The 23,720-nt window shown below is 43.9% G+C and overlaps 1 protein-coding gene, 1 long non-coding RNA gene and 1 pseudogene across 4 annotated transcripts in view, besides 5 other annotated features; 1 reads left to right on the top strand and 2 right to left on the bottom strand.

Annotated features, from left to right (window-relative positions):
* Window positions 4,223–4,302: an enhancer, noted in NCBI's record as "active region_10801". NCBI's record gives its function as "activates an Ori minimal core promoter by ATAC-STARR-seq in GM12878 lymphoblastoid cells {active_cell/tissue: GM12878}" and the evidence as "EXISTENCE:reporter gene assay evidence [ECO:0000049][PMID:35858748]".
* On the bottom strand, window positions 4,732–5,635 carry LOC124903687 (uncharacterized). Its single transcript, XR_007065063.1, has 2 exons — window positions 5,427–5,635; window positions 4,732–5,290 (listed from the first exon to the last, which is right to left on the bottom strand). It is a non-coding gene; the product is annotated as an uncharacterized LOC124903687 (long non-coding RNA).
* Window positions 5,495–5,574: an enhancer, noted in NCBI's record as "active region_10800". NCBI's record gives its function as "activates an Ori minimal core promoter by ATAC-STARR-seq in GM12878 lymphoblastoid cells {active_cell/tissue: GM12878}" and the evidence as "EXISTENCE:reporter gene assay evidence [ECO:0000049][PMID:35858748]".
* Window positions 5,585–5,634: an enhancer, noted in NCBI's record as "active region_10799". NCBI's record gives its function as "activates an Ori minimal core promoter by ATAC-STARR-seq in GM12878 lymphoblastoid cells {active_cell/tissue: GM12878}" and the evidence as "EXISTENCE:reporter gene assay evidence [ECO:0000049][PMID:35858748]".
* Window positions 5,675–6,274: a silencer, noted in NCBI's record as "silent region_7457". NCBI's record gives its function as "represses an Ori minimal core promoter by ATAC-STARR-seq in GM12878 lymphoblastoid cells {active_cell/tissue: GM12878}" and the evidence as "EXISTENCE:reporter gene assay evidence [ECO:0000049][PMID:35858748]".
* N4BP1 (NEDD4 binding protein 1) overlaps window positions 5,765–23,720 on the top strand; it is a 71,455-nt gene continuing 53,499 nt past the window's right edge. For all 3 annotated transcript variants that reach the window (XR_007064930.1, XM_011523482.2, NM_153029.4), the window contains exon 1: window positions 5,765–6,170. Coding sequence is in view for 2 of the 3 variants with exons in the window: in XM_011523482.2 (XP_011521784.1) it covers window positions 5,973–6,170 (198 nt within the window). In the remaining variant the exon portion in view is untranslated. The remainder of the gene's footprint in view (window positions 6,171–23,720) is intronic.
* Window positions 6,585–6,634: an enhancer, noted in NCBI's record as "active region_10798". NCBI's record gives its function as "activates an Ori minimal core promoter by ATAC-STARR-seq in GM12878 lymphoblastoid cells {active_cell/tissue: GM12878}" and the evidence as "EXISTENCE:reporter gene assay evidence [ECO:0000049][PMID:35858748]".
* Window positions 15,114–15,782, bottom strand: LOC105371239 (probable ribosome biogenesis protein RLP24; annotated as a pseudogene).

Below are 23,720 nucleotides of genomic sequence, written 5' to 3'. Positions count from 1 at the left end.
GACTCCGTCTCAAAAAAAAAAAAAAAAGAAAGAAAAAAGAAAATAGGAGGAAGTGGTCAGGTGTGGTGGCTCATGCCTATAATCCCAGCACTTTGGGAGGCCAAGGCAGGTGGATCACCTGAGGTCAGGAGTTTGAGACCAGCCTAGCCAACATGGTGAAACCCCATTTCTACTAAAAATACAAAAAATTAGCTGGGAGTGGTAGCACACGCCTGTGATCCCAGCTACTCAGGAGGCTGAGGCAGGAGAATTGCTTGAAGCCAGGAGGCAGAGATTGCAGTGAGCCAAGATCGCACCACTGCGCTTCAGCCTGGGAGACAGAGTGAGACTCCACTTCAATAAATAAATAAATAAAATAATAATTTAAAAAAGGAAACAGGAGGAAGGAACAGTGAGTGCAAATGCCCTGCCATGGTGTGAGCTGGGCCCAGTGCAGAGAGGAGCAGAGGTGGGGCAGGCAGGAGACAGGTCTGGTAAGGGCTGCCACTCAAGGCAAGGGCTTTGGATTTTATTCTGACCCTGAGGGAAAGCTCTTGGAGGATCCTAAGTAATGGTCTGACAGATGAGATTTGCAATTTGAGAAGATCACTCTGGCTGCAGCATCGATATTTGTAAATAATTTATCCGAATCTCCTACTGGTTGTAGCTCTTGACACTTACAGACAGGCCAAAAAGGCTATGGGGAGACCTCATGGTTGTCAGAGAGATGATGGTGGCTTGGATTGTTGACAGGGGATGAGAGACGTTCAACAGTTTGCAAATTTATTAAAACCTTGTGTGTGTAGTTGAAGAATGATGATATAACCGTTTCTTACTCGAAGGCCCTACATGTGATTGTACCAAAAACACGGAACCCAGGACACTGCTGGCCAGAGAGCATCTTTGTCTGCTGATCTGATTGGTTGGGTGTGCCGAGCAACATTCCACGTGCACATCTGTCTGGTTTTGACAGCATCCTACGGCAAGGAAGGTCCAAGACTAAGGGGTTGGTCATGAGACCATGTGCTCTCCTCTTGCTTACCTTTGCACAAGGGCAGAAGAAGGGGCTGGCTGCATATCCAAGCTTGCTGCTGCTGTCATTATGGCATAGCACATAAGGCCAGTCAGCAGAGTCATGTAACCAGCAAAGGGTCCGTCTGCTCGCCACTGGTACAAAAATGACAGAATAACAAGAGCAAAGTGTGATAAGGAGATTTTATTATCCATGCTAATAAGGGAAGGAGTGGGTGAGATTCTTTCCAAAAATTTCCACCCTTCAATTTGTGGGGGGAATGCAGGGGTTTTTAAAGAGAGAGGGGTTTGGAATGGAGAGGAAGGGGGCTAGGAGGGGTCAGTGGTGCAATCCACTCCAACAGCTTATCTTGAATTATTGTTCCCTTTGGTGAAGGGGCCAGTGCCATCCTGGGCCTGACCAGGTTACAAATGAACTTCAGCCAATCTTGCAGTTAATTTCTAGTGCGTGAGCATGAGTAAACGTGAGTGAGTGTAGCCAGGAGTAAATTTCAGCCTTGACCGGGGAGAGAATTCTGGAGGCATACGGTCCATGTCAAGATCCAGCCCCTGGATGGGCGCAATGGCTCAGGCCTGTAATCCCAGCACTTTGAGAGGCCGAAGTGGGCAGATCGCCCAAGGTCAGGAGTTTGAGACCAGCCCGGCCAACATGGCAAAACCCTGTCTATACTAAATATACAAAAATTAGCCAGGCGTAGTGGCGGGCGCCTGTAGTCCCAGCTACTTGGGAGGCTGAGGCAGGAGAATGGCGTGAACCCGGGAGGCAGAGCTTGCAGTGAGCCGAGATCCCGCCACTGCACTCCAGCCTGGGCGACAGAGCGAGACTCCGTCTCAAAAAAAAAAAAAATTAGCTGGATGTGGTGGTGCATGCCTGTAATCTCAGCTGCTCGGGAGGCTGAGATAGGAGAATTGCTTGAACCCGGGAGGCAGAGGTTGCAGTGAGCTGAGATGGCACCACTGCACTCCAGCCTGGGAGACAGAGCAAGACTCCATCGCAAAAAAAAAAAAAAAAAAAAAAATCCAGCCCCTGAGGCTTCTAAGGAAATACATGACCAGATAAGTGAGCATGGTATGTGCTTGACGAGTGTTTGGGTAAATAAATGAGCATATGGCATGGGAGAATGGAATGGGGAAGGATAGGGAGTGGAGGTTCACAGTCCATTCCAAGGCTGTATGTCAAGATGACAGGAAACACATATGCAGCTTGTCTCAAAGTTGTATCTTGAGACTGGGGAGAAAGAAGGAAAGAAAACAAGGTTTTAAAATGCAGTTTGAAGCCAAGCTGCCTGCTTACAGTCAGACTGCCTGGATTCAAATGGCTATTTCTACCACTTCACTGACTAGCTCTGTGGAACATTCCAGAATTTCTCTATTCTTCTGTTTCCTCTTTTTTCCCCCTTAATTTACATTTTTTGTGGGGGGGCAGGTAAGAGACAGGATATCGCTATGTTGCCCAGGCACACCTTGAACTCCTGGGCTTAAACAATCCTCCCACCCCAGGCTTCCAAGTAGCTGAGACTACAGGCACCTGCCACCACCCCCGGCTGGTTTCCTCATCTTTGAAACAGGAAGAAAAACAATAGCAACCACTGTTGGAGTTTTAGGAGACCAATAAACACTCTTTCTGCCCCTTCTGAGTTCAGAACTAAGGAAGAAAAGCAGGTAGAGATCAAAATGTCATCATCATTGCTGACAAGAGCTAGACTGGAGGATGTGGTTGAAGTGAAAATACTTTACCCCCAGTCACTAACACAGCAACTGCAGACAGCCCATTACCAGGGTACAGGGCGGTCCAACCCAGCACCCCACCTTCTCAGAAAGTTATCAGTCAGAGAAATCCTCCTCCTGCTCTGGGGAAAAGGAGAATGAAAGCTAGATAGACATGTTCCTCCACACTTGGCCCCGCTGGGGAATGGAATAGGAATCTCCTCCTGTCCTTGAAAATATGAGAAGCAAAAATAAGTGATTCTCTCAATACCATTTTATGGGCTCTTGAGGTTGTTATGAGATTAAGGAAAAACACAGCTAAAGTATCTAGAATACAGAATTCATAAGGTTTCATCTCTGGCATCGACTGTCCTGGCTGGTCAGGCCAGCCAGATAGGCAAGGCTGGTTAACCGAGGGAAGTTGTGGTTGAGTGAGAAACAGCATGAAGCAAGGAAGTTCTTGAAAGGGGATTTTTTTTTTCTCTCTCTCTTTCTCCTTGTTCCTTACACTCAGGAAACCTTGAGAGTTCCCTAAAGGGAAATGCTGATCAAATATGAACTGGCAAGTCTTTTTTTTTTTTTTTTTTCTGAGATGGAATCTTGCTCTTGTTACCCAGGCTGGAGTGCAGTGGCGCGATCTTGGCTCACTGCAACCTCCGCCTCCGGGGTCCAAGCAATTCTCCTGCCTCAGCCTCCCGAGTAGCTAGGATTACAGGCATGTGCCACCACACCCAGCTAATTTTTTATATTTTGAATAGAGACGGGGTTTCACTACGTTGGCCAGGCTGGTCTCCAACTCCTGGGCTCAAGTGATCCGCCCTCCTTGGCCTCCCAAAGTGCTGGGATTACGGGTGTGAGCCACCACACCCAGCCTGGCAAGTCTTAAATTAAAACTGGAGGAAAAACCTCCCAAAACTATGTATCTTCAATTATACACCAACCCAGTGACTTATTAGCACAGCTTCTTGGCCCAGCATTTTTTAAGGGTGTGTGTATGCACTGCTTCTGTTGGTTTTGGGTGGGATTTTTTTGGAGGGAAGTGGGGAGAGGAAGGCACTGTGGTGTGTTTTTCAAGGCAGCCTCCCTCTTCACCTCTTACAATTAAGCAATTAAGAATCGCAAGCAGGGAAGTCACTGGGAGCAAACAGGAACCAGCCCTGGGGAAAGCCCTGTCTAATCACTGAACAATAGCAATTCCGTTTAAGGTGAGTGCAATAAGGCAGGAAATAACATGCTGTGTTGACAACATGCCTTACTGATAGACTGCGGTTCTGCAAGCAATGCATCAGCAATGCCACACTCGCCACCTGACCTGCCTCAGCCAATCCCACGTCATCTACCTGATGGAGCAAGGCTGCTGGTTGTGTGGACATCAAGGGAAAAGCCCAGGGGAGCAGGAATCTGTTGATCTGTGAGCCTAGTGGTTCTCTTCCCTGTGCTGAATCACTTCTTGGTGGGGCACTGGGAGACCACACCTGAGTTTCTGAGACATATGGAAACCCCCAGAAGCCTGGATCTCTCATAGGTTTTACCTTGGGTAAATCCTCCTACAGAGACCATTCCCCCTTGGTATTTCCAACTACAGCATCTTTAGCTCCTCCTCTTTTTCCTCTAGCAGGGATGTACACAGATGGCACAGACTCCTGGGCCCACAAGTTCACTGTGGTTGCATAATCCACACAAAGATTTTCCCTGAAAATTAGGCCTTAAATATATTGCTTAAGTTAGCAATAATAATGTTCAGTGAGCACTTACAGTGTTGGGTGCTGTATTAATATTCACAATAGGAAGTACTATTATTATCTACATTTTATAGATGAAAAATTAAAACAGAGAGAGGTAATATTCCCAGAGCCCCTATCTACTATAGCCACAATATTTAGCTGAAGGAAAGGAATCCAACACTTTATCTTCCACAATCTGTTTTCATGGACTCAGAGAATATAAAGGCCTGGAAAAGGCCTTAGAGATAACTGAGTGTACTCTTTTATTTTACAGATCAGAAAACAGACCTGGAGAGGGGTTAGGGTTTATTTGCTCCAGTCCCAGGGAAGATCATGAGTGAGCCCCCAAACTCCCACTTTTCGGGCTTCTCCCATAACATATCCCCTTTCTTCCCTCACAGAAGAAATCACTCTCCTGAATTTATCTTTTTTTTTTTTTTTGAGACGGAGTTTCGCTCTTCTTGCCCAGGCTGGAGTGCAATGGCGCAATCTCGGCTCACCGCACGCAACCTCTGCCTCCAGGGTTCAAGCGATTCTCCTGCCTCAGCCTCCCTAGTAGCTGGGATTACAGGCATGTGCCACCACGCCGCGCTAATTTTTTTTTTTTTTTTTTTTTTTTTTTTTTTTTTTTTTTTTTTTTTTAGCAGAGACGGGGGTTTCTCCATTTTGGTCAGGCTGGTCTCGAACTCCGGACCTCGAGTGATCCACCCGCCTCTGCCCCCACAGACTGCTGGGATTACAGGCGTGAGCCACCGCGCCCGGCCTTCTTGAATTTATCTTAATCATTTTTTTGATTTTCAATTCTCCGTAAGTATGCCCATTTTCTTCTCTTCTTGCTACCATTTTTACTGAAAGAAATAAAAAGGGAAAGAGAAAAAAGTGAGAAGGGCAGCTAAGAAGGTAAAAGGGTAGGGAGGAAGGGAAGAAACAGAGAAAGAAAAGTCCCGTCTGCCTGTGGATTAACGTGAAACTGAATAACTCAACTGCTAGAATCCTGGTTTGAGCGTCAAGATGTCTGAGGTCAAGTCCAATCCCTGTGACACTCTCAGTCTCGCCTCCTGGCAATTAAGTTTCCCCAACTATAAACCCATATATCTACATCCACCAGATCCCGCGAAAGCGGTTTCCCCTCATCAAAGAAGTCCGCCCAGGCCTCCAAAACCATCCCTTTATTCTCAACCAACATGGCGACTGAGGGTGACGTCAACTTCCGTCGCCTTCACCCTACTCCCTTCCCCTAGGGGGCGGCGAGCCTCAATGACGGCTGCGGCCGGGGCGCATGCGCGGCGGCGGGGCCCGGCCCGCGGCGGCGGCAAAGGGGCGGAGGGGTTCGCTGCCAGCAATTGCCAAGCTGCTGCGGTCGTGGCGGGATGGTATAGCCGGGCCTGAGGGCGGGCGGCGGGGCGCGGGCGGGGGCGAGGCGGCCGGGAAGGGCCGACGCCGCCTGACTGGCTTGGGAGCAGCGGCAGCAAGCTGAGGGGGCGTCGCCGCCGCCGGCCCCCGGCGCCGCCGCGGGAGGCCGCGCCCGCCATGGCGGCCCGGGCGGTGCTGGACGAGTTCACTGCGCCAGCTGAGAAGGCGGAGCTGCTGGAGCAGAGCCGCGGCCGTATCGAGGGCCTGTTTGGCGTGAGCCTAGCCGTGCTCGGCGCGCTAGGGGCTGAGGAGCCGCTGCCCGCGCGCATCTGGCTGCAGCTCTGCGGGGCGCAGGAGGCGGTGCACAGCGCCAAGGTGAGTCCGGCCGCCGCCCCCGCGCGCCCGCGGCCTCGATCGGTCCGGGTCTCCGGGCTCCCGCTCCTCCCCGCCCCCGCCGTCCGCCGCGATGCGCCTGGGTTGGGAACGCAGTCTCGGGAGCCAGCGAACGTGCCTTTTCGGCTCGCGAGCCATGTGACCTTGGATAGCGGCTTGATCCCCGGAGCCTCAGTTTCCCCATTTGTAAAGTGGCGCTGACGAAAGTACCTACCTCAGAGGGCTGTCGCGAGGATGAAAGTGGGGGATGTGTATGAAGCGCAGGCACAGCGTGTGGCACGGATCGGGTGCGCTGCGCATGTCGCCTGTTGTTGTCAGTTCCCCGGCCCCCAGGATGGTACGCAAGGCCTGTTGCTGGGCCCGCAGCCTCGTCCACCACCTAAGCCTTTATCCCCCAGTCCCGGGCCTCCACTACTGCAGTTCTGAGCCTTTTTGGGATCTCAGTTCCTCTTGAGAATCGGAAAAAAACTATTAATAGTAATAAAACGCTCGGAGAATGTCAGAAAGAAAGGATTTATGTTTACCTATTTTTTTCTATTTGAGACAGGGTCTCACTCTGTCACCCACAGTGGAGTGCAGTGTGGCGCGGTCTCAGTTCACTGCAGCCTCGACTTCCCGGGCTCAAGTGATCCTCCCACCTCAGCCTCCCGAGTAGCTAGTACTATAGGAGCGCGCCACCACGCCCGGCTCATTTTTTTTTTTTTTTTTGGTAGGGGATTTCACTATGTTGCCCGGGCAGGTCTCGAACTCTTGGACTCAAGTCATCCTCCCATCTCGGTCACCCAAAGTGCTGGGACTACACGCGGGAGCCACCCCGGCCGGATATTTAATATGTTAACAAAAAATAGCGTTATTCTTTGTATTGATATTACCTACAACTAACATTTACATAACGCTTAAGAACATCACAGGTTGCTTCAGAAGGAATGTGCAGCCCTTATGGCTTCTAATAAGGTAGATTTTATCCTCCCCACCACCACCCCGCCTTTTTTTTTTTTTTTAATTAACAGCTGGGGAAACTGAAACTCAAAGTGGTGACTCACCTTCTGCCTAAATCAGCATTTCAGACCTCTTCAGCACCTCTATCTACTTCCCCCCCTTTCCAAACCAAAAAGCAACACAGTATGTTGCTCCTCCTAGGTAACCAAGTTTCTCTAGGTTTTTCCATCTCCTAAGTAGGGCAGCAGGATTCAGACCTAGGGAGTTTGTTTCCAGAGCCTTCGTTCTTGATACTTGCCTCTCATATGATGAGCCCTGTCTGCGGGGTGGGCAGGAAGGGCCCTCTTTTTGCATCCTGCTTTGTCAAGTAATGTCAGTGTCCTTGAATCTGAGTAGTCGTATCTCCTGATGTTCTTAGATTTAACAAAAAATCGTGAGTGTTTGCATTTCACATCCTTAAAGGAGACGGGGCACTCAGCTGTGTAGTTCTTCAAAGCTTAACTTAAAACATTGTAGGCCGGGCGCGGTGGCTCACGCCTGTAATCCTAGCACTTTGGGAGGCCGAGGTGGAAGGATCACGAGATCAGGAGATTGAGACTGTCCTGTGTCACACGGTGAAAACCGTGTTCTTGAGAATCGGAAAAAAACCATTAATAGTAATAAAACGCTCGGAGAATGTCAGAAAGAAAGGATGTATGTTTATTTACCTATTTTTTTCTGTTTGAGACAGGGTCTCACTCTGTCACCCACACTGGAGTGCAGTGGCATCTCTACTAAAAATACAAAAAATTAGCCCGGCGTGGTGGTACGCGCCTGTAGGCCCAGCTACTCGGGAGGCTGAGGCAGGATAATCGCTTGAACCCGGAAGGCAGGTTGCAGTGAGCTGAGATCGCGCCACTGCACTCCAGCCTGGGCGACAGCACGAGACTCCGTCTCAACAAAACAAAACAAAACAAATCAGAAAGCCAGCATTGTAGATATAGAACCAAGTTTGCTTTCCTGGGCTTAACTTTTTTAGTCAGTTGGATTGCAGACAGCTGGTCTAAGGCGCATTCCCCTTCGTCCATTCTCCCCAGCTATCCAATCTTCTGCACTTCTCAGGGCTTAAAAGCTTGACATGATTAAGTCCTGCTTTTTCTTCTGAAAATCTCTTACGTGCATTCATTCCTTTCCTTTCTATTGCCTTTGCTGCGGTTAAGACTTTCATTCCTGTGTGTCCCCTCCCTTGCTCCATTGCCTTTACTCATTCATTGCTCCCTCCCTCCCTGGTTCAACTTGTGTTAGAGTAATCCTCCTGCAAAAAGTCATTCTCCTGCCCTGGAACCTACTAGAGCCTCCTGTCACCTGTCTCATTCAGCCTAAACTCCTCCTCTGACTTACAAAACGATTAATCCAACCCCACTTTATTTTTCCAATGTTCTGGTTTAGCACCTTTCAGCTTAAATCTCCACTGTAGTAGTCTCTGCCTTTGCTGTGCGTTCTGCCTCCTCTGGGTTCTGCTTTTGCTCAAGACTCATCGCAAGCATGGAGAATGACTCCTTTGCTATGCAGAAGAGCCCTGCTGGTCCTGCCAGACCTGCCCAATGCCTGTTTTCTTGGCTGTCCTTGCCACACAGTTTAGCCAAGCTGTTTGGGAAAGGTGTGTCTTACAGTTTCTTGCTAGTATGTGCTCCTGCTTGTTGATCTTTGTGATATGTATTACTCATAAGTCAACCCTCCCACTTGTAAGAAATTCTTTTTTTTCTCCCCTTGAGACTCATAGGTAAGAGTTGAATGCCACAATCAGGGCTTTTTTGTTCTGAATTTGTTTTGGAGTTTGTTTTACTTTCTTGAAGGAGGAGAAAACCATTATTTTGATTTTAAAAACTAAGAACAGGAAAGCAAATTTGATCCAACATCTATAATATTTTAAGTTAGGCTGTGGAAGAGCAGCAGATTTAGAGGAAGGAAGATTTAGAGCAAAGAAGAGTTTTTCAACTATAGTGTCTCTGCTCAAAATAAGATAAGATGAACTGTCTTGTGTCCCACCAAGTGGTTTGCTTGTGTTTTGCCTTTAAAATGTGAATTCACTGCCTTTTGCAAATGCTAGAGTAGAGAAGAATGTGGAGCTTAGTTAGGTGGGCCTCCAATGACTGCAGAGGGGCGAAATGGAAACTACTAGTAGACAGTGATAGTGCGCATGCAGGTTGAAAAACAGGCACTGACTCTGTACCAGTGACCACTTTTGTTAAAGGGAAGATTTGTCGTAGAAAGCAGTACTTCAGCTGGCTTTTGAAGAGCCAAATATTCCCAGGTACCTGACCTTCCAGACAGAGGTGGTTGTGGAGCAAAGGCCCAGAAAACATGGAGTGTCATGGTAAAAGGTGTCCAGGTGCTCCTGGGAAAGATGAAGGCTGAGGTACCAAAATGCCAGGCTAAGGTCATTGGACCTTATTTAATAGTCAGTGAGGATTTTGAGAAGCATGGAATCTTCCTGAAACAGAAGACCAACAGTGAAATGAACATTGTTGCAAGTTAGCCTTGGGCATGAGGGGGTAGGGGGTGGTAAGGTTTTTACAGGGACAGGGCAGCTGTGTGGTGGATGTAGGGATTTAGGGGTCGGTTTTAAGCCAGGTGGCAGGAGGGATGGTTAAGTTGTTTGACCTATTGACTGGTGGGGCCACCAGCTCATCAACATTTAAGGAAGACTTCTCTGGTGCCAGGGAGTGTATTGACGGTTGCCCCTTGACCTCAAGAATCACGTTGCCTCTTAGGGGAGACAGACATGGGGAAGATACAGTAAAGTGTGATACATACAACAACTGCAATGTGTGCAAGGTGTTTCTGTAACACAGGAATGGAAGGGTTGCTCTGCCAGCCGGTTTCCTAGGTAGCAGGGAGGTCCTGGCAGAGGGAAGAAGCTGTGTGCAATCACAGGGGCATGGAAGAGGGCAGTTGCATCACAGATTCCTCCAGTGGATCACAAAGTGCTTGGGGCCTGCTGAAGAACATGGATTTTACCTGCAAGTAGTCAGTGGAGAGTCGTGGAAGAGTTAGGGGGACATGAGAAATTTACATTTCCACAAATGCCTCAGTGTTTACACCTCTGGGCTGGGGCTGCTCAGTGTGGTCTGTTGCTGGTTTTCAATAGTAAGAGTACAGAAATTGAAAATAAGGGTTGAGTAACTTTTATGCAATTTGGCATTAATACAGGGGCTAGAGAGGCAATGTCTAAGAGTGAGAAGTCCTTATAAGAGGGCATTGTCCATAGGGGGCCCAGAGAGAGGGGAAAGAAGTCAGTGCTGGAAGACATCTTGGGAGCAAAGGATTGTGAGGATTGAATTTCAGAGACAAAAGGGAGGTACTGGCTAGCTGTTGCCTCATTCGCAAATAGAGATTAAAGTGAAGAAGCAGAGGTGGGACCCTCCCTGTGAAGCAGTGGTGGAAAGGGATGAGGTTGAGGGGATCTCAGCCGTGGGGGTGAGACGAGTTAGAATTCTTCTTTTAGGCCGGGCGCAGTGGCTCACGCCTGTGTAATCCCAACACTTTGGGATGCCGAGTGGTCTGATCACCTGAGGTCGGGAGTTCGAGACCAGCCCACCAACATGGAGAAACCCTGTCTCTACTAAAATTACAAAATTAGCCAGGTGGGGTGGCGCATGCATGTAATCCCAGCTACTCAGGAGGCTGAGGCAGGAGAATTGCTTGAACCAGGGAAGCGGAGGTTGCGGTGAACCAAGATCACGCTATTGCACTCCAGCCTGGGCAACGAGAGCAAAACTCTGTCTTGAGAAAAAAAAAAAAAGAACCCTTCTTTTAGATCAAAGAACCACAAACTCAGAATGCTTCCTGGGACCAGGCAGGGAACCTGTGTAGGGAAGTGGGGTGGTCGGGAAGAGGGACTGTGGTGAATGAAGCCGTGTGGCCCTTTTGGAGAGGGCAGCTTCCCATGCGTATCGCATTAGTCAGTTACATGGTAGGGCTCAGTGATGTCCAGTCTTATTATCTAAGAGAAGCAAGGAATCCAGATTTAATTATATAAAATATTGTATTTAAGTGGTCACTAATTTACATTTTAAAAATCATACACATCGAATTCATCGAATTATATGAATAAAATATTTTTAAACTACATATTTTAAAAAAACAGTTATATGTGCTAAACAAAACATGTCAGTGGACCTGAGCTTTGTTTCGTTTTGTTTTAATTTAGTTTTTGTTTTTGTTTTTTTTTTTACCTTTTTTTGTTTTTTTTTGTTTGTTTGTTTTGTTTTTTTGACCTGAGCTTTGGACTGCCTTTTTGAGACAGGGTCCCTAGGTTGGAGTGCAGTGGTATGATCTCAGCTTACTGAAACCTCTGCCTCCCAGGCTCAAGCGATCCTCTTGGCCTCCTGAGTAGCTGGGACTACAGGCATGTGCCACCATGCCCATGGTGTATTTTTGTATTTTTGGTAGAGATGGCATCTCACTATGCTGCCCTGGCTAATCTTGAATTCCCGAGCTCAAATGATCCTCCCACCTCAGCATCCCAAAGTGCTAGGATTACAGGCATGAGCCACCATGCCTAGCCCATATGTTTCTAATACTTGAAGAGGGCATTTGAAGGCCCCAGTGGCGTACAGTACAGTCTCAGTGCTAGTTCATCCCCAGAGGGAGCGCAAGAGCTCCAAAATAGTGGGATGTGTTAGGTGCAGTGGAACTGCTGCAGACTGAAAACTTAAGAACTTAAAAGGACTGGGATGAAGTAAGGGCCAAGGAAGGTTAGATAGTATGAACTTACAGTGTCACTTGAGCCAGAAACTCTCAAGTAGGTAATGTTTTCCTCCACTCAAGAGGTTTGTGAAGCCAGGACACAAGGATTGGAGGTAAGGGGGTCTGAAGTGCAATAGAGCAAGGCACAGTGGGGCTTAGGAAATATTTCTGAAGAGGTCAGCCTTGTTCAAGCTAGGACAGGGAAACAGATGAGAGCAGAAAGGGCGGAGTGAGCTGCAAGGATTAAGGGAGGGACAAGACCTTTGACCCTGTGCCCTCTGAAACCCAGGGGGTCATGTACACAGGGAAGTTAAGTATTGGAGAATTCTGGAGGTTGTAATCAGAGTAATTTCGGAGCTTAGAATCTTGGATGTAAAGGAATTCTGAGGATGACTCTGAGGGCCAAGGGGTGCCTCAGTAGTTGTGGGTGAGCTACAAGTGTTCCATACATCTTAGAGAAGTGAGAAAGTAGAGGAGATGGCAATGTGAAGTATCTGGAGCTAGTGCTATGCTGGGGTCACCAAAGTCCATAGCAAGAAACTGGGTGCTAACAGTCAGTGAAGCCTGGCTGGTTAACAAATAAAAGAAGTAATTGGAAGTAAATGGCACAGCTACTTGTTTGGCGTCTCCATGAACCTTTAAGGTGTGGAGTTCACTGACCACAGCTGCCCATCAGTTGATGCTTAGCTTCAGGCATTACTTGATGGCAGTGAGTAGCCACCGAGAGGCCTAGCCAGTGCCCTAAACAGTACCAGCCTGGAGGACTTCAAGCAGAGTCCTGGGAAGGACTACTCAGTCTTAAAACATTGACGTTACAGTGCACCCATGAAACTCAGGCAGGCTACCACCCAGTCCATTTTTAATTTGTGAGAAAAAGGGTGTTTAAGAACAGCTAGTAATTGACCTTTTCCCAGTTTTTACTTATGTATTTATGGAGTAAGGTAAGAATGAAAAAAAAATGTAATTAAAGTAGAAGTGGCCTATTACAGTACTGACTTCAGAGGGTTCAAGTTGACCAGGTACTGTTTTACTACCTTTTCAGTTAGAAGAGCCTGGTACCTGGTTTCATGAATTTTTCTATGCGTGTGCGTGCGTGTGTGTGTGTGAGATAGGGTTTGGCTCTGTCACCAGGCTGGAGTGCAGTGGTGTGATCTCAGCTCACTGCAGCCTTGCCCTCCCAGGCTCAAGTGATCCTCCCACCTCAGCCTCCTGAGTAGCTGGGACTATAGGCATGTGCCACCATGCTGGGCTTTTATTTATTTATTTATTTATTTATTTATTTATTTATTTTTATTTTTTATAGAGATGGGGTTTCCTCATGTTGCCCAGGTAGGTTTCATGAATTCTTGAACAATTGATTTGTTCATGAAGGAAAGAATTCATAGATGTAATACTGGGTAGTGACATGGAGTTTTTGTTTTGATTTTACCAGGAAGAAGGTTGGTGGCCTTTTTTGCACTTCCCAGAATATTTTTTACTCACTATGGTTGTGAAAATCATCTTCTTAAGAAACAGTGGTTTGTTCAGTCTCTTCTTATGGCTGACATTTTGGGGTTATACCAGAATGTTGAAATAAGGGATACTGGTATTGCTTATGCTGGGGTCAGAAGTGATTGCCTGTAGTTTCCTCTTTCTTGTCCATTTCCCAGCCAGTATTGTAGGATTGTAATTAAATCAAGGACCACATTTTGATCTATGTTGGCTTTTTATGAAATTGATATAATCATAGAAGATTAGCAGTCTTGAGTTTCAAGAACAAAATTGTAGGGGGGAAATCCTTACAGTAATTAATTAAAAAACTTTTTTAAACATCAGTTTTTTGTTGTTGTGTTTTTTGTTGGTTGTTGTTGTTGTTTGTTTTTTGAGACAGGGTCTCACTGTGTCGCCCAGGCTGGAGTGCAGTGGCATGATCTCGGCTCACTGCAACCTCTGCCTTTTGGGTTCAAGTGATTCTCCCACCTCAGACTCCTGGTTAGTTGGGAGTTCAGGCTTGCGCCACCATGCCCAGCTAATTTTTGTATTTTTTGGTAGAGACAGGGTTTCACCATGTTGGCCGGGCTGGTCTTGAACTCCTGACCTCGAGTGATCTGCCTGCCTTGGCCTCCCAAAGTGGTAGGATTACAGGCATGAGCCACTGCACCTGGCCAAAAATCAGTTTTTCATATGGAAACAACATAAAGGAGTTTTTTTGGCTTAAAGAAACTGAATTTAGCTGGGCGTGGTGGCATGTGCCCCGTAGTCCTAGCTACTTAGGAGGCTGAGGCATTAAGATTGCTTGAGTCCAGTAGTTCCAAGTCTGTAGTGCGCCCTGATTGTACCCCTGCACTCCAGCCTGGGTAACAGAGCAAGATCTTGTCTCTTAAAGACCAAAAAAAACCACAAAAAACCTTTTTTTAGAAAGATTCCTAACTTAGAAAGGTTTTGTTCAGTCTTAGTGCTGATAGAATTAGTAATTTACATTACTTGATAAATAAGAGCTGTAGGAATAAATCCACGTCTGAAAGTATGAAAGTCATTTGTGATTATGGCATCTTTTGATTGAAATTACCTACCTACCAGTCTTCTGGGATCTTTATCCATTCTTGAATCAACACTTTTTTTTTTTAACTTTTTAAATGGTTTTATTTTATGTGCAAATAATGAACAGATGTTGTACCCATAAATTCTACTTTCCAAAAACAGGAGCTTTTTAAAGGAAAACTACATAATAACTTTTAAAAGGCACTGGGATTCCTCTGCTTCTAGATCATTGCCAGACTAGAAAAATAAAGTTTGTTCTACCAGGAATAACTAGTTAGAACTGAGTATTCTCCAAAGTGGAAATTCCAGAGTGTAGCGACAGTCCATGCAAAGATTATTCAGTTCTAATTCCCAACATCCACGACTGCCTATCAGAATGATTAAACCAGGTCAAAACAGTCCAGCATAATTAAGCTTCATCAAACAATGCCATTATGCTCTTCCAAGATGCAAATAAACCAAAACAGGAAATACTAAAATCAAAACAATATTTGACATTGTCATACAAATTGTTAGTTCCTTGTTGTATCCCCCTTTCCATAACATTAATAAAGGGAATATTTGGCTGCAAATAATATTTTATTTTATATATCACTAGCCATGATTTTTTGCCATTACTTATTATACAAATGCCACCTAGTGCCATTATCCAATTGGCATAACCATTTTACATCCACAATTCACTTCTATAGTTATAAGTAGAATTTTCGTGATTTACATATCTATCAGTGAAGATTTAACACTGAGATGCAATCTAACATCTGTAATATCTGATGTTTTGTAGATGGCAGTGTAGGAAAGATATATTTTAATCACTTTTCATTTAAGTGACCTTATGTAAAAAATAATTTAGCAGTTCCAAGTCTCCAAAGGGCATTTTCAAATGTACATAAAAGAAATGGTTACAGAGATTTTTAAGAAGCATCTTCCATGTCCACATTCTCTTGTAACTGCTGTACTGTTTTCTCTTCCAACTGCTTCCCTTTGCCTGCAAGAGGAACTCAGATAAGATGGATGTTTTGCTTGACCTGTTTGATATCCTGAACTTTCTGTAGCTCTTATTTTTCTTCAATCTGTTCATTATAAATTTAGCTTGGCGTTTCTGTTTGATCTCTTCAACTGTCTTCATTGCTTCAGTAGTTTTATTCCATAGCTCTCACTGGTATTTGATGGTTTCATTTCTATGTTTTTCATATTCAAATGAATTATCCAGTGTAAGCTCTTTGCCACCTGCTTTCCGGAATGCTTTGGTCCACCTAACTTTGCAAGGATTGTGCTTCTTTTTAAAGTTTTTATGACATTTAGATTTACAAAATCTGAACACCTTTCAGTCGTTGCGGATGAACATCATGCCGTGGCCAGGGTAGATGGGCCCAAACAGAAATAACACTTCACAGTACACATGTTAAACCTGCATGGGTCACCACCAACCAAATGCCAAGCTTGAGAAGAATCAGCATATTTAATTCACAGTATGTTTCATTCTTGACCCTGGTATTTTTTAAATTAAGAAAATGAAATTGTTACTTTGTTATAATAGGTAGGTTAATGAAGGTTGATGTATCTCTATTAGGTAATGAATTTGCCTGCAATAATAGAAACCTATACAAAATAAGGGTTTTCTTTCATTTAAAAAGTCAAAAGATAAGCAGCAGTCCAAGGGTGAGTAATGATTACAAACTGTACCCTTATGGTCACAAAATGACCACTGCAGCTCCAGCCATCAGGCCTTTAAGAAGGAAGGATGGAAGAAGAGGTAACAGTTTTCCAGAAAACCCTAGCAGGTTTCTGCTTACCTCTAATTGGCTAGAACTATATCATGTGACCACTAGTAGTAAAGCAAGCTATGAAATGTTCAGTTTTACCTAGGCACATCGCTACCCTAAACAAAATATGGATTACATTATTTTCCATGTGTTTTAAAAATTATAATTCCTAAAAAGTGAGCATATAGCAAGCATTCATTTAACTCATTTGTGAGGGAACCAGCTGGATTGGAAAACTGGTTCAAGGAGCATTGGAGGAAATGAGTACAGGTGCTGAAAAAACAGTGTTAGAATAAGATTGCTAGATTTGGGTACAAAACTGGTGAATGTCCTTGTGAGAATGTAGGAATAACTGACACAGTTTCTCCTGCTTATGTGGACTCTAACATGCTTCTAACACAAGATGTGTGGGAGTTTTCCTCTTACCCTCTATTTTGCCAGAATTTGTGAAAGAACAACCATGCCCCCATTAGCTCCTTAGGAATTCTGACATAGGGTTTAAAAACAGTTGCAGTTAACTTGCTTAGGAATCATCCCTGCTTAGTGCAACTGTAGTTGCAGCCCTGGTCCTGTGACCACTGTATCAGATGGGGATGAGGGGCGGGGGCAGTGGGAATCGAGGTGTTACTGGAAAGAAAGAAAAAATTATAGTTATTATACCAGTATACGACTCAGATATACCAGTTCTCCAAGCTTGTACCCTAATTCCATCAACCTTACTTTCCTAACTTTAGCCTCTGTTAGGACTTTATGAACCGGTTTTGGTTTTACAGTACTAGGTAGGGGAAGTGTTTCCCTACCAGACATAACATCCATTTCCATAAAACATTCAAGTAAAGGAGATACAACTTTTTAACTTAAAGTGTGTTTATTACCATTCCAGTTTATATAATCCTGTCAACCCTTACCTTTTCATATTCTCCCAATCTAGTAGCCCTAGTCGGGGCTTTCTTTGCCAATGGATCATAGGACTCCTATATCAAGGAGTTTCAGGGATTTATCTTCACCACCCCAGAAGGTTTTACCCACTTGTGTACAGAGGCTCTGAGTCCCCAGCCAGAGGGTAAGCAAAGGGACACTTGTGCTTTATCAATTTTGCCTTGATTAATCTCCCTAGGCAATTTCAGGTCAGATTTCTCATTGTAATCTTTGCCTTCTGACTTTAAATTTCTCCAATGTGGGGCAAATTGAGGGACCAAGAGGGGATCCCTTAGACATACCTTATTTTTCAGTGGTGTTGTATTAAAATCTTTTAGTCTCATTAATTTCATTTTATTCATGCCGTATCTTAATAACCACCCTGCTGAGAGGAGTCCTGTGACTCTCCACCTTCTTTTCCTTTTTTGTATCACCCCTATCAATGATTTTTTTACTCACCTTATTAATGATCCCTTAAAAATTTTCCTGGAAGGAGTCCTTTGACTCTCCTCCCTGCCTTTTGCCATTATTTTGTTAATTAATGTTTTTATTAGTGTCTGTAAGACCTAATGAAGCTGAGGAAGGAAACATGATATGGCTTCCTGAATTTTGTGGTTTTGCAGCAGTAAGGTTATGTGAGGGCTTCCACCCTAAAGGACACCCTTAAGCACAGCACTTACCAATTTCCTAAGAAAAACATCTTAAGCAATTCTTAAAAGACCTGGGAAGCAGGCATATTTGCTGAACGAGTGTCCCAGTCATTTTAAAGCCAGTCTCATATGGCATGCACATCAGTTGCTTTGTCTGGGATGTTCCACTTGGCATTTATAGAGGGAGTTGGGTAGTCCCCCTTCTCAGGGGAGCCTTTTATCTAGTCCACCAGCCTGGCTGTTTGCTCAGGAATAACCACCTTTGTCTGGATCATGTATAGCCATGTGATTGTTCCATTGTGAGCCATGCATTCTGCATCCACCAAAACTTTTTCTTCATTTTGCAGCATTATACAGAAGCTTATGCATGCAGCCGTCATAGGTTTATTGCCTCATGTCCACAGCAAGTCAATATGCACAGACACTGGGTTGCAGTAGAGAAAGAGGTTTATTTGTAGGGCCACTAGATGACGAGACATGAGGAAACCTCAAATCTGACTCCCTAAGGGATTTGTGGGGTTAGGGCGTTTAAAGGTTTTGAAGTGGGCCAAAGTGTAGATATCATTCATTGGTTAGAGTGCAGGGTGAAGTCATGGGACAGGTTGAAGAAGAAGCTGTATTCTCATGCTGATTCTGTTCCTCTCTGGGGGTCTTCAAACTGGTTAGCATCAGCTGTTCTGCTGGAATTTGACATCTGAAAAACATCCGAAGCAATTCTTAAAAGCCTTATGGTTCTAAGGTCAGAAATTTTATCTACAGGAAAATAGGGATGCAAATTTTCGGTGTCTACTGCTACATGACTTTCGGTTACAAGGAAGTAGGTCTAAGTTCAGCTTCATTAATACTTAATTATAACTATCTTTCTGCCCAGAATTCTTGTTAACCCTGTGAGGACAGCTTCATATACCCTAAATTCAGAATCTGTCTTAGTAATGGTTTTTCAGGAAGTTGATACCAATGTAACCGCCCAACGGGTTCACCTTGTCCTCTGCCTAGACAAAGCTGATTTATCAAGATGGGAATTGCAATGGAGAAAGAGTAATTCACACAGAGCTGGCTGTGTGGGAGACTGGAGTTCTATTATTACTCAAATCAATTTCCCCATATTCGGGGATCAGAGTTTTAAAGATAATTTGGCAGGTAGGGGCTTGGGAAGTGGGGAGTGCTGATTGGTCAGGTTGGAGATGGAAACACTGGGGGTTGAAGTGAGATGTTCTTGTTGTCTTCTGTTCCTGGGTGGGATGGCAGAACTGGTTGAGTCAGATTATGGGACTGGGTGGTGTCAGCTGATCCATTGACTGCAGGGTCTGCAAAATATCTCAACTACTGATCTTAGTACTGTTATCCCCAGGAGCAATTTGGGGAGGTTCAAACTCTTGGAGCCAAAAGCTGCATGACCCCTAAGCCATCATTTCTAATCTTGTAGCTAATTTGTTAGTCCTGTAAAGGCAGACTGGTCCCCAGACAAGAAGGGAGTCTTTTCAGGAAAGGGCTATTATCAGTTTTGTTTCAGAGTCAAACCATAAACTGAATTCCTTGCCAAGGTTAGTTCCAGCCTACTTCCAGGACTGAGCAAGGACAGCTGAAAGGTTAGAAGCAAGATGGAGTCAGTCAAGTCTGATCTCTTTCACTGTCATAATTTCCTCAGTTACAGTTTTTGCAAAGGTGGTTTCAGTCCTTCCCTTTGGGTTTAACAGCACCTTATTCTTAAGGTGTGGGCTATGAAGTTGGGAAAGGGCCGTCAGTCACTCTGGCTGCTTTCTCCTAACTGGGCGTAGTGGGGGAAGGTGTTGACCACAAAGTGAGAGGAGTGGAACTGCTTTGCAGCTGTCTGAGTGTACTCACGCAAGCCAGGCTGAGGTTCCAAGGCTTCATGACAAAGGTGTTAGTATTCTCATCTATGGTTTTAGTACAGCATTTAAGTGGACATTTAAATACTGAGTTCTAGGATAAGGAGTGCAAATTCCAGTTAAGCATTAATTTGGGGCATTGTGGCTCACCAAAATCTAAATTGCAGAGGAAAAAAAATAAAATAAAAACTCAAAAACAACAATAACAGGCATACTATAGTTTTTGAAACACGTTTCTCTCCTAGTCCTTATTTTTATTAAAAACAAATCATGATAGGACTGATTTGTTTGCAAAATAAACTTTATTATACTTGGCCTGATTTCTTCCATAGAGCACAGCAAGAATAATTATTTCTCACGTAGGCTTTGTAAATTGGCTTTGATGGAATTCAGTTCCATAAGGAACCTCAGTTAAGACTTTTTTAAAGCCAAGCCCAGCCATGGGTTTATACCCTCAGATAGCTATGAGTTGGGTAAATTCCTCTCCTCTTGAGGTCCCAAGATAACTTGGGGCTCCTGGGCCTGTCAGAAAGTGACATTCTTTACTTACCACAGGTCAGGAACCCTGTACAGGTACTGCATAGACAAGGTGTGAGGTCACTTTTCCCAAGGGGCTTTTATTGGTTGGCTCTATAAGTCAAGTTTGATTCCTTAAAGGAAAGCACGCCATTCCAGTCAAAGCCTTGGTAAAATAACCAGTTTCTCCAATTGTGTCCTGTTAGAAAAGAAAACATTCTTATTGCACTTATGTAAATAACTATATCACCATAAGTTAAAAATACAAATAGTTTCCAAATTCTGGAGAAACCAGGTAGAAACAAATATGCTTCAAATTTTGTTTACAAGAATGTACTTTACTGAGTTGTTAAAAGCTGTAAATAGTGCAAAAGAAAGTTTTCTTTCTTTTTTTTTTTTTTTTTTTTTTTGAGACAGAGTCTCACTCTATTGCCCAGGCTTGAGTGCAGTGGTGTGATCTCGGCTCACTACAACCTCTGCCCCCTGGGTTCAAGCAATTCTCCTGCCTCCCTAGTAGCTGGAATTACAGGTGTGCGCTACCATGCCTGGCTAATTTTTGAACCTTTAGTAGAGATGGGGTTTTTGCCATGTTGGCCAGGCTGGTCTCGAACTCCTGGCCTCAAATGATCCACCCGCCTCAGCCTCCCAAAGTGCTGGGATTACAGGCGTGAGCCACCACATTTGGCTTTGAAAAAACGAAAAGGATCAGCAACATTTTAAGCAAAAAAAGTAAAGAAAAAGATTACTTCAGTTTTCTGTTCGGTCCATTCAGTTAACTCCTGTTCTGCTTGATATTCATGAACATTTTAGCTATCCCTGGGAGTCCTGAAAGTTTTTTTTATTCTAATGCCACAATCTCCAGTGTTATTAGAAACTTGCATTCAGGAGCACCTGTCAAAGTTTTATAGCTAATTATAAAACCATCTTCTAAAGAGGATCAAAACAAGACAGTTGTCTGTGGATGAAAAAACATTTTAGGGCAGCCACAGTCAAAGACACAATTGACAAGAAAATTTGTTACCTCTGTGGCACACAATAATTTAACATAACAATTATTATTGATAACATATAGTGAGGCATATTAGAATTATAGGAATCTCATACAATTTTGTAACACATACTAATAACCTATTTATATGAATGTAACCGAAAGAGAATTAAATACCATTTTATATTTGACAGTGTTTCCTTTGTTGAAAACACTGGATATCAGACGGGCACAGTGGCTCACACCTATAATCCCAGCACTTTGGGAGGTCGAGGTGGGCAGATCACTTGAGGCCAGGAGTTCAAGACCAGGCTGGCCAACATGGTGAAACCCCGTCTCTACCAAAAAATACAAAAATTAGCTGGGTGTAGTGGCGTACACCTATAATCCCAGCCACTTGGGAAGCTGAGGCATGAGACTTGCTTGAACTCATGAGGCAGAGGTTGCAGTGAGCCAAGATTGTGCCACTGCACTCCAGCCTGGGCAACAGAGCAAGACCTTGTCTCAAAAAAGCAACACTGGATATTCACAAAGTAGAATCCCAGGTCACCATAAGTCATTCATTTAACCAAAATGATAACCCACAAATTTTAAAACAGGAAAAACCTTTACTGTGGTAGAAAGGAGACTCAGCTTTCCAAACAACAAGATCCAGTGAAGATAGCATGATGCCAACTGATTTGTCTTTTCTCTCAACACCACCCCCTCCGCCACCTTTTTTGTAGTTTACTTAAAAGGCAAATGAAAACCTTTCGTTATCTTTTAATATTACATGAAAATTCTTTTCAAAAGAGAAAACCAAATTTAATGTTTGCATTAGTGCATCTTTAAAATGCTAAAGCTAGGTGGTTTTTTTTTTGTTTTTTTTTTTTTTTTTGAGACGGAGTCTTGCTCTGGCACCCAGGCTGGAGTGCAGTGGCATGATCTCGGCTCACTGCAACCTCCGCCTACTGGTTTCAAGCAACTCTTTTGTCTCAGCCTCCTGAGTAGCTGGCACTACAGGCACCCGCCAACACACCCGGCTAATTTTTAGTAGAGACACTATTTCACCATATTGGTCAGGCTAGTCTCAAACTCCTAACCTCAGGTGATCCGCCTGCCTCGGCTTCCCAAAGTGCTGGAATTACAGGTGTGAGCCACCACGTCCAGCCTAAATTTAGTTTAATAGCATTTTACAAATCTATTCAGTTTTAGTTAGTTTGACCATAAGGTAAGATTCTTATAAACCTTTTATAACCCTTTACAATATTTTTTTTGTTAAAGAGCAGAACAATGATTTAGGAAAACTCTGTTGCACTTTTATTCCAATGTTCAATTTATGGAAAAACAGAATAATACCTCTTTAACTTTAGCCAATATGTTTGCACACATTAATTTTTTATAAACCTTTCACAACTTGTTTAAACCTTTAGATTTTTTCCTTCCTCACTTAACACAATCCTTTAACCCTCTAAACTTAGGTGAGAAATTCATATTCCCATGCCTTCTTAAAATCTTTTACCAAAAGTACATTCTGCTTTCCTTACACACTTTGTGTGTAGAACTGTTTCTTCAGTAGTCTCAAATACATGTTACACTGTTAACTCTTAGCAACTTTTACTTTCGGTGAAAAACCTGGTTAGTAAGCAATTGTAATTATGTACCAGGTGTGGAGCCTAGAACAGACACCAGTCAGAAGTGCAGATAAGGTCTGACTTTCCAGCATAGCCAGGGGACTTGGCTGACTCCACATGTCCCCAGGCCTTACCTAGCTGTAAAGCAGGCAGGTTGTGAAGTCATAGTGGCAGTTTATGAAATATTTAGGGGACCTAATAATCTTTAAATTGTATAACATTTCTTGCATAAATTTCCTTTCATGAATCCTTTCATGACTTAGACCATCTATGACATGCTTGGACTTTCTGACTTGTCCTAACCACCCCTCTCTTTAAACAACCAGTCTTTTTACTTTAGGACAAGAATTTACCATACAAGATTCTTTTGTATAAAATATTTTCTTTATGGGGGCTAATTTCACATGTCCCCAGACCTTACCTAGAATGTAATGGCTCCAAGGGAGGTATATTGAAGAATTTTCAAAAGTTAAAGAAGCAGTTTATGACCTTAGAGCATTTAGCAAACCTAATATTTGACCTAATTTAGATGAAATGTCTAAATTTGGAAGATATTTTTATTTACCAGTAATCTTTAAAACTGTTTATTACCAAAAGATTACGAAAGTTATATGAACTAAACTAGCTCATTAGTTTTAGTTTTTCTGACAAAATATCTGATTTAAGTGCTTATTTTTCTTTAAGCTAGTTAATTAGAGCTCTTTTATATAAACATCACACACAACACATACACAGACAGAATATCCAGTAGTTGTAACATTTTTCATTTGCCAGTTTCTTAAGTTGGATTACTGGCTTCAGGGCAGAGCCCTTCACGAAACAAGGCTAGGAAAGCATGCAGTTACTAGGGCCTAAAAAGCAGGCACAGCTGGAAAGCAAAGACATTCTCAAAATTAAGGGTCCCATTTTTATATTGCATCCTGGATTTTCAAAAGGGAAATGCTGTTGGAGAAAACGGTGCAATGCTTTTACCATGCATTTAATTGCCTGGCAACCCAAACCCAGTCAGCCGATTTTGTTTTTGTTTCTGTTCTGGGGGGA

Source organism: Homo sapiens, chromosome 16 (genome assembly GCF_000001405.40).
Source record: "Homo sapiens chromosome 16, GRCh38.p14 Primary Assembly".
NCBI lineage: Eukaryota > Metazoa > Chordata > Mammalia > Primates > Hominidae > Homo > Homo sapiens.
This window is presented reverse-complemented; position numbering and strand designations above follow the sequence as displayed.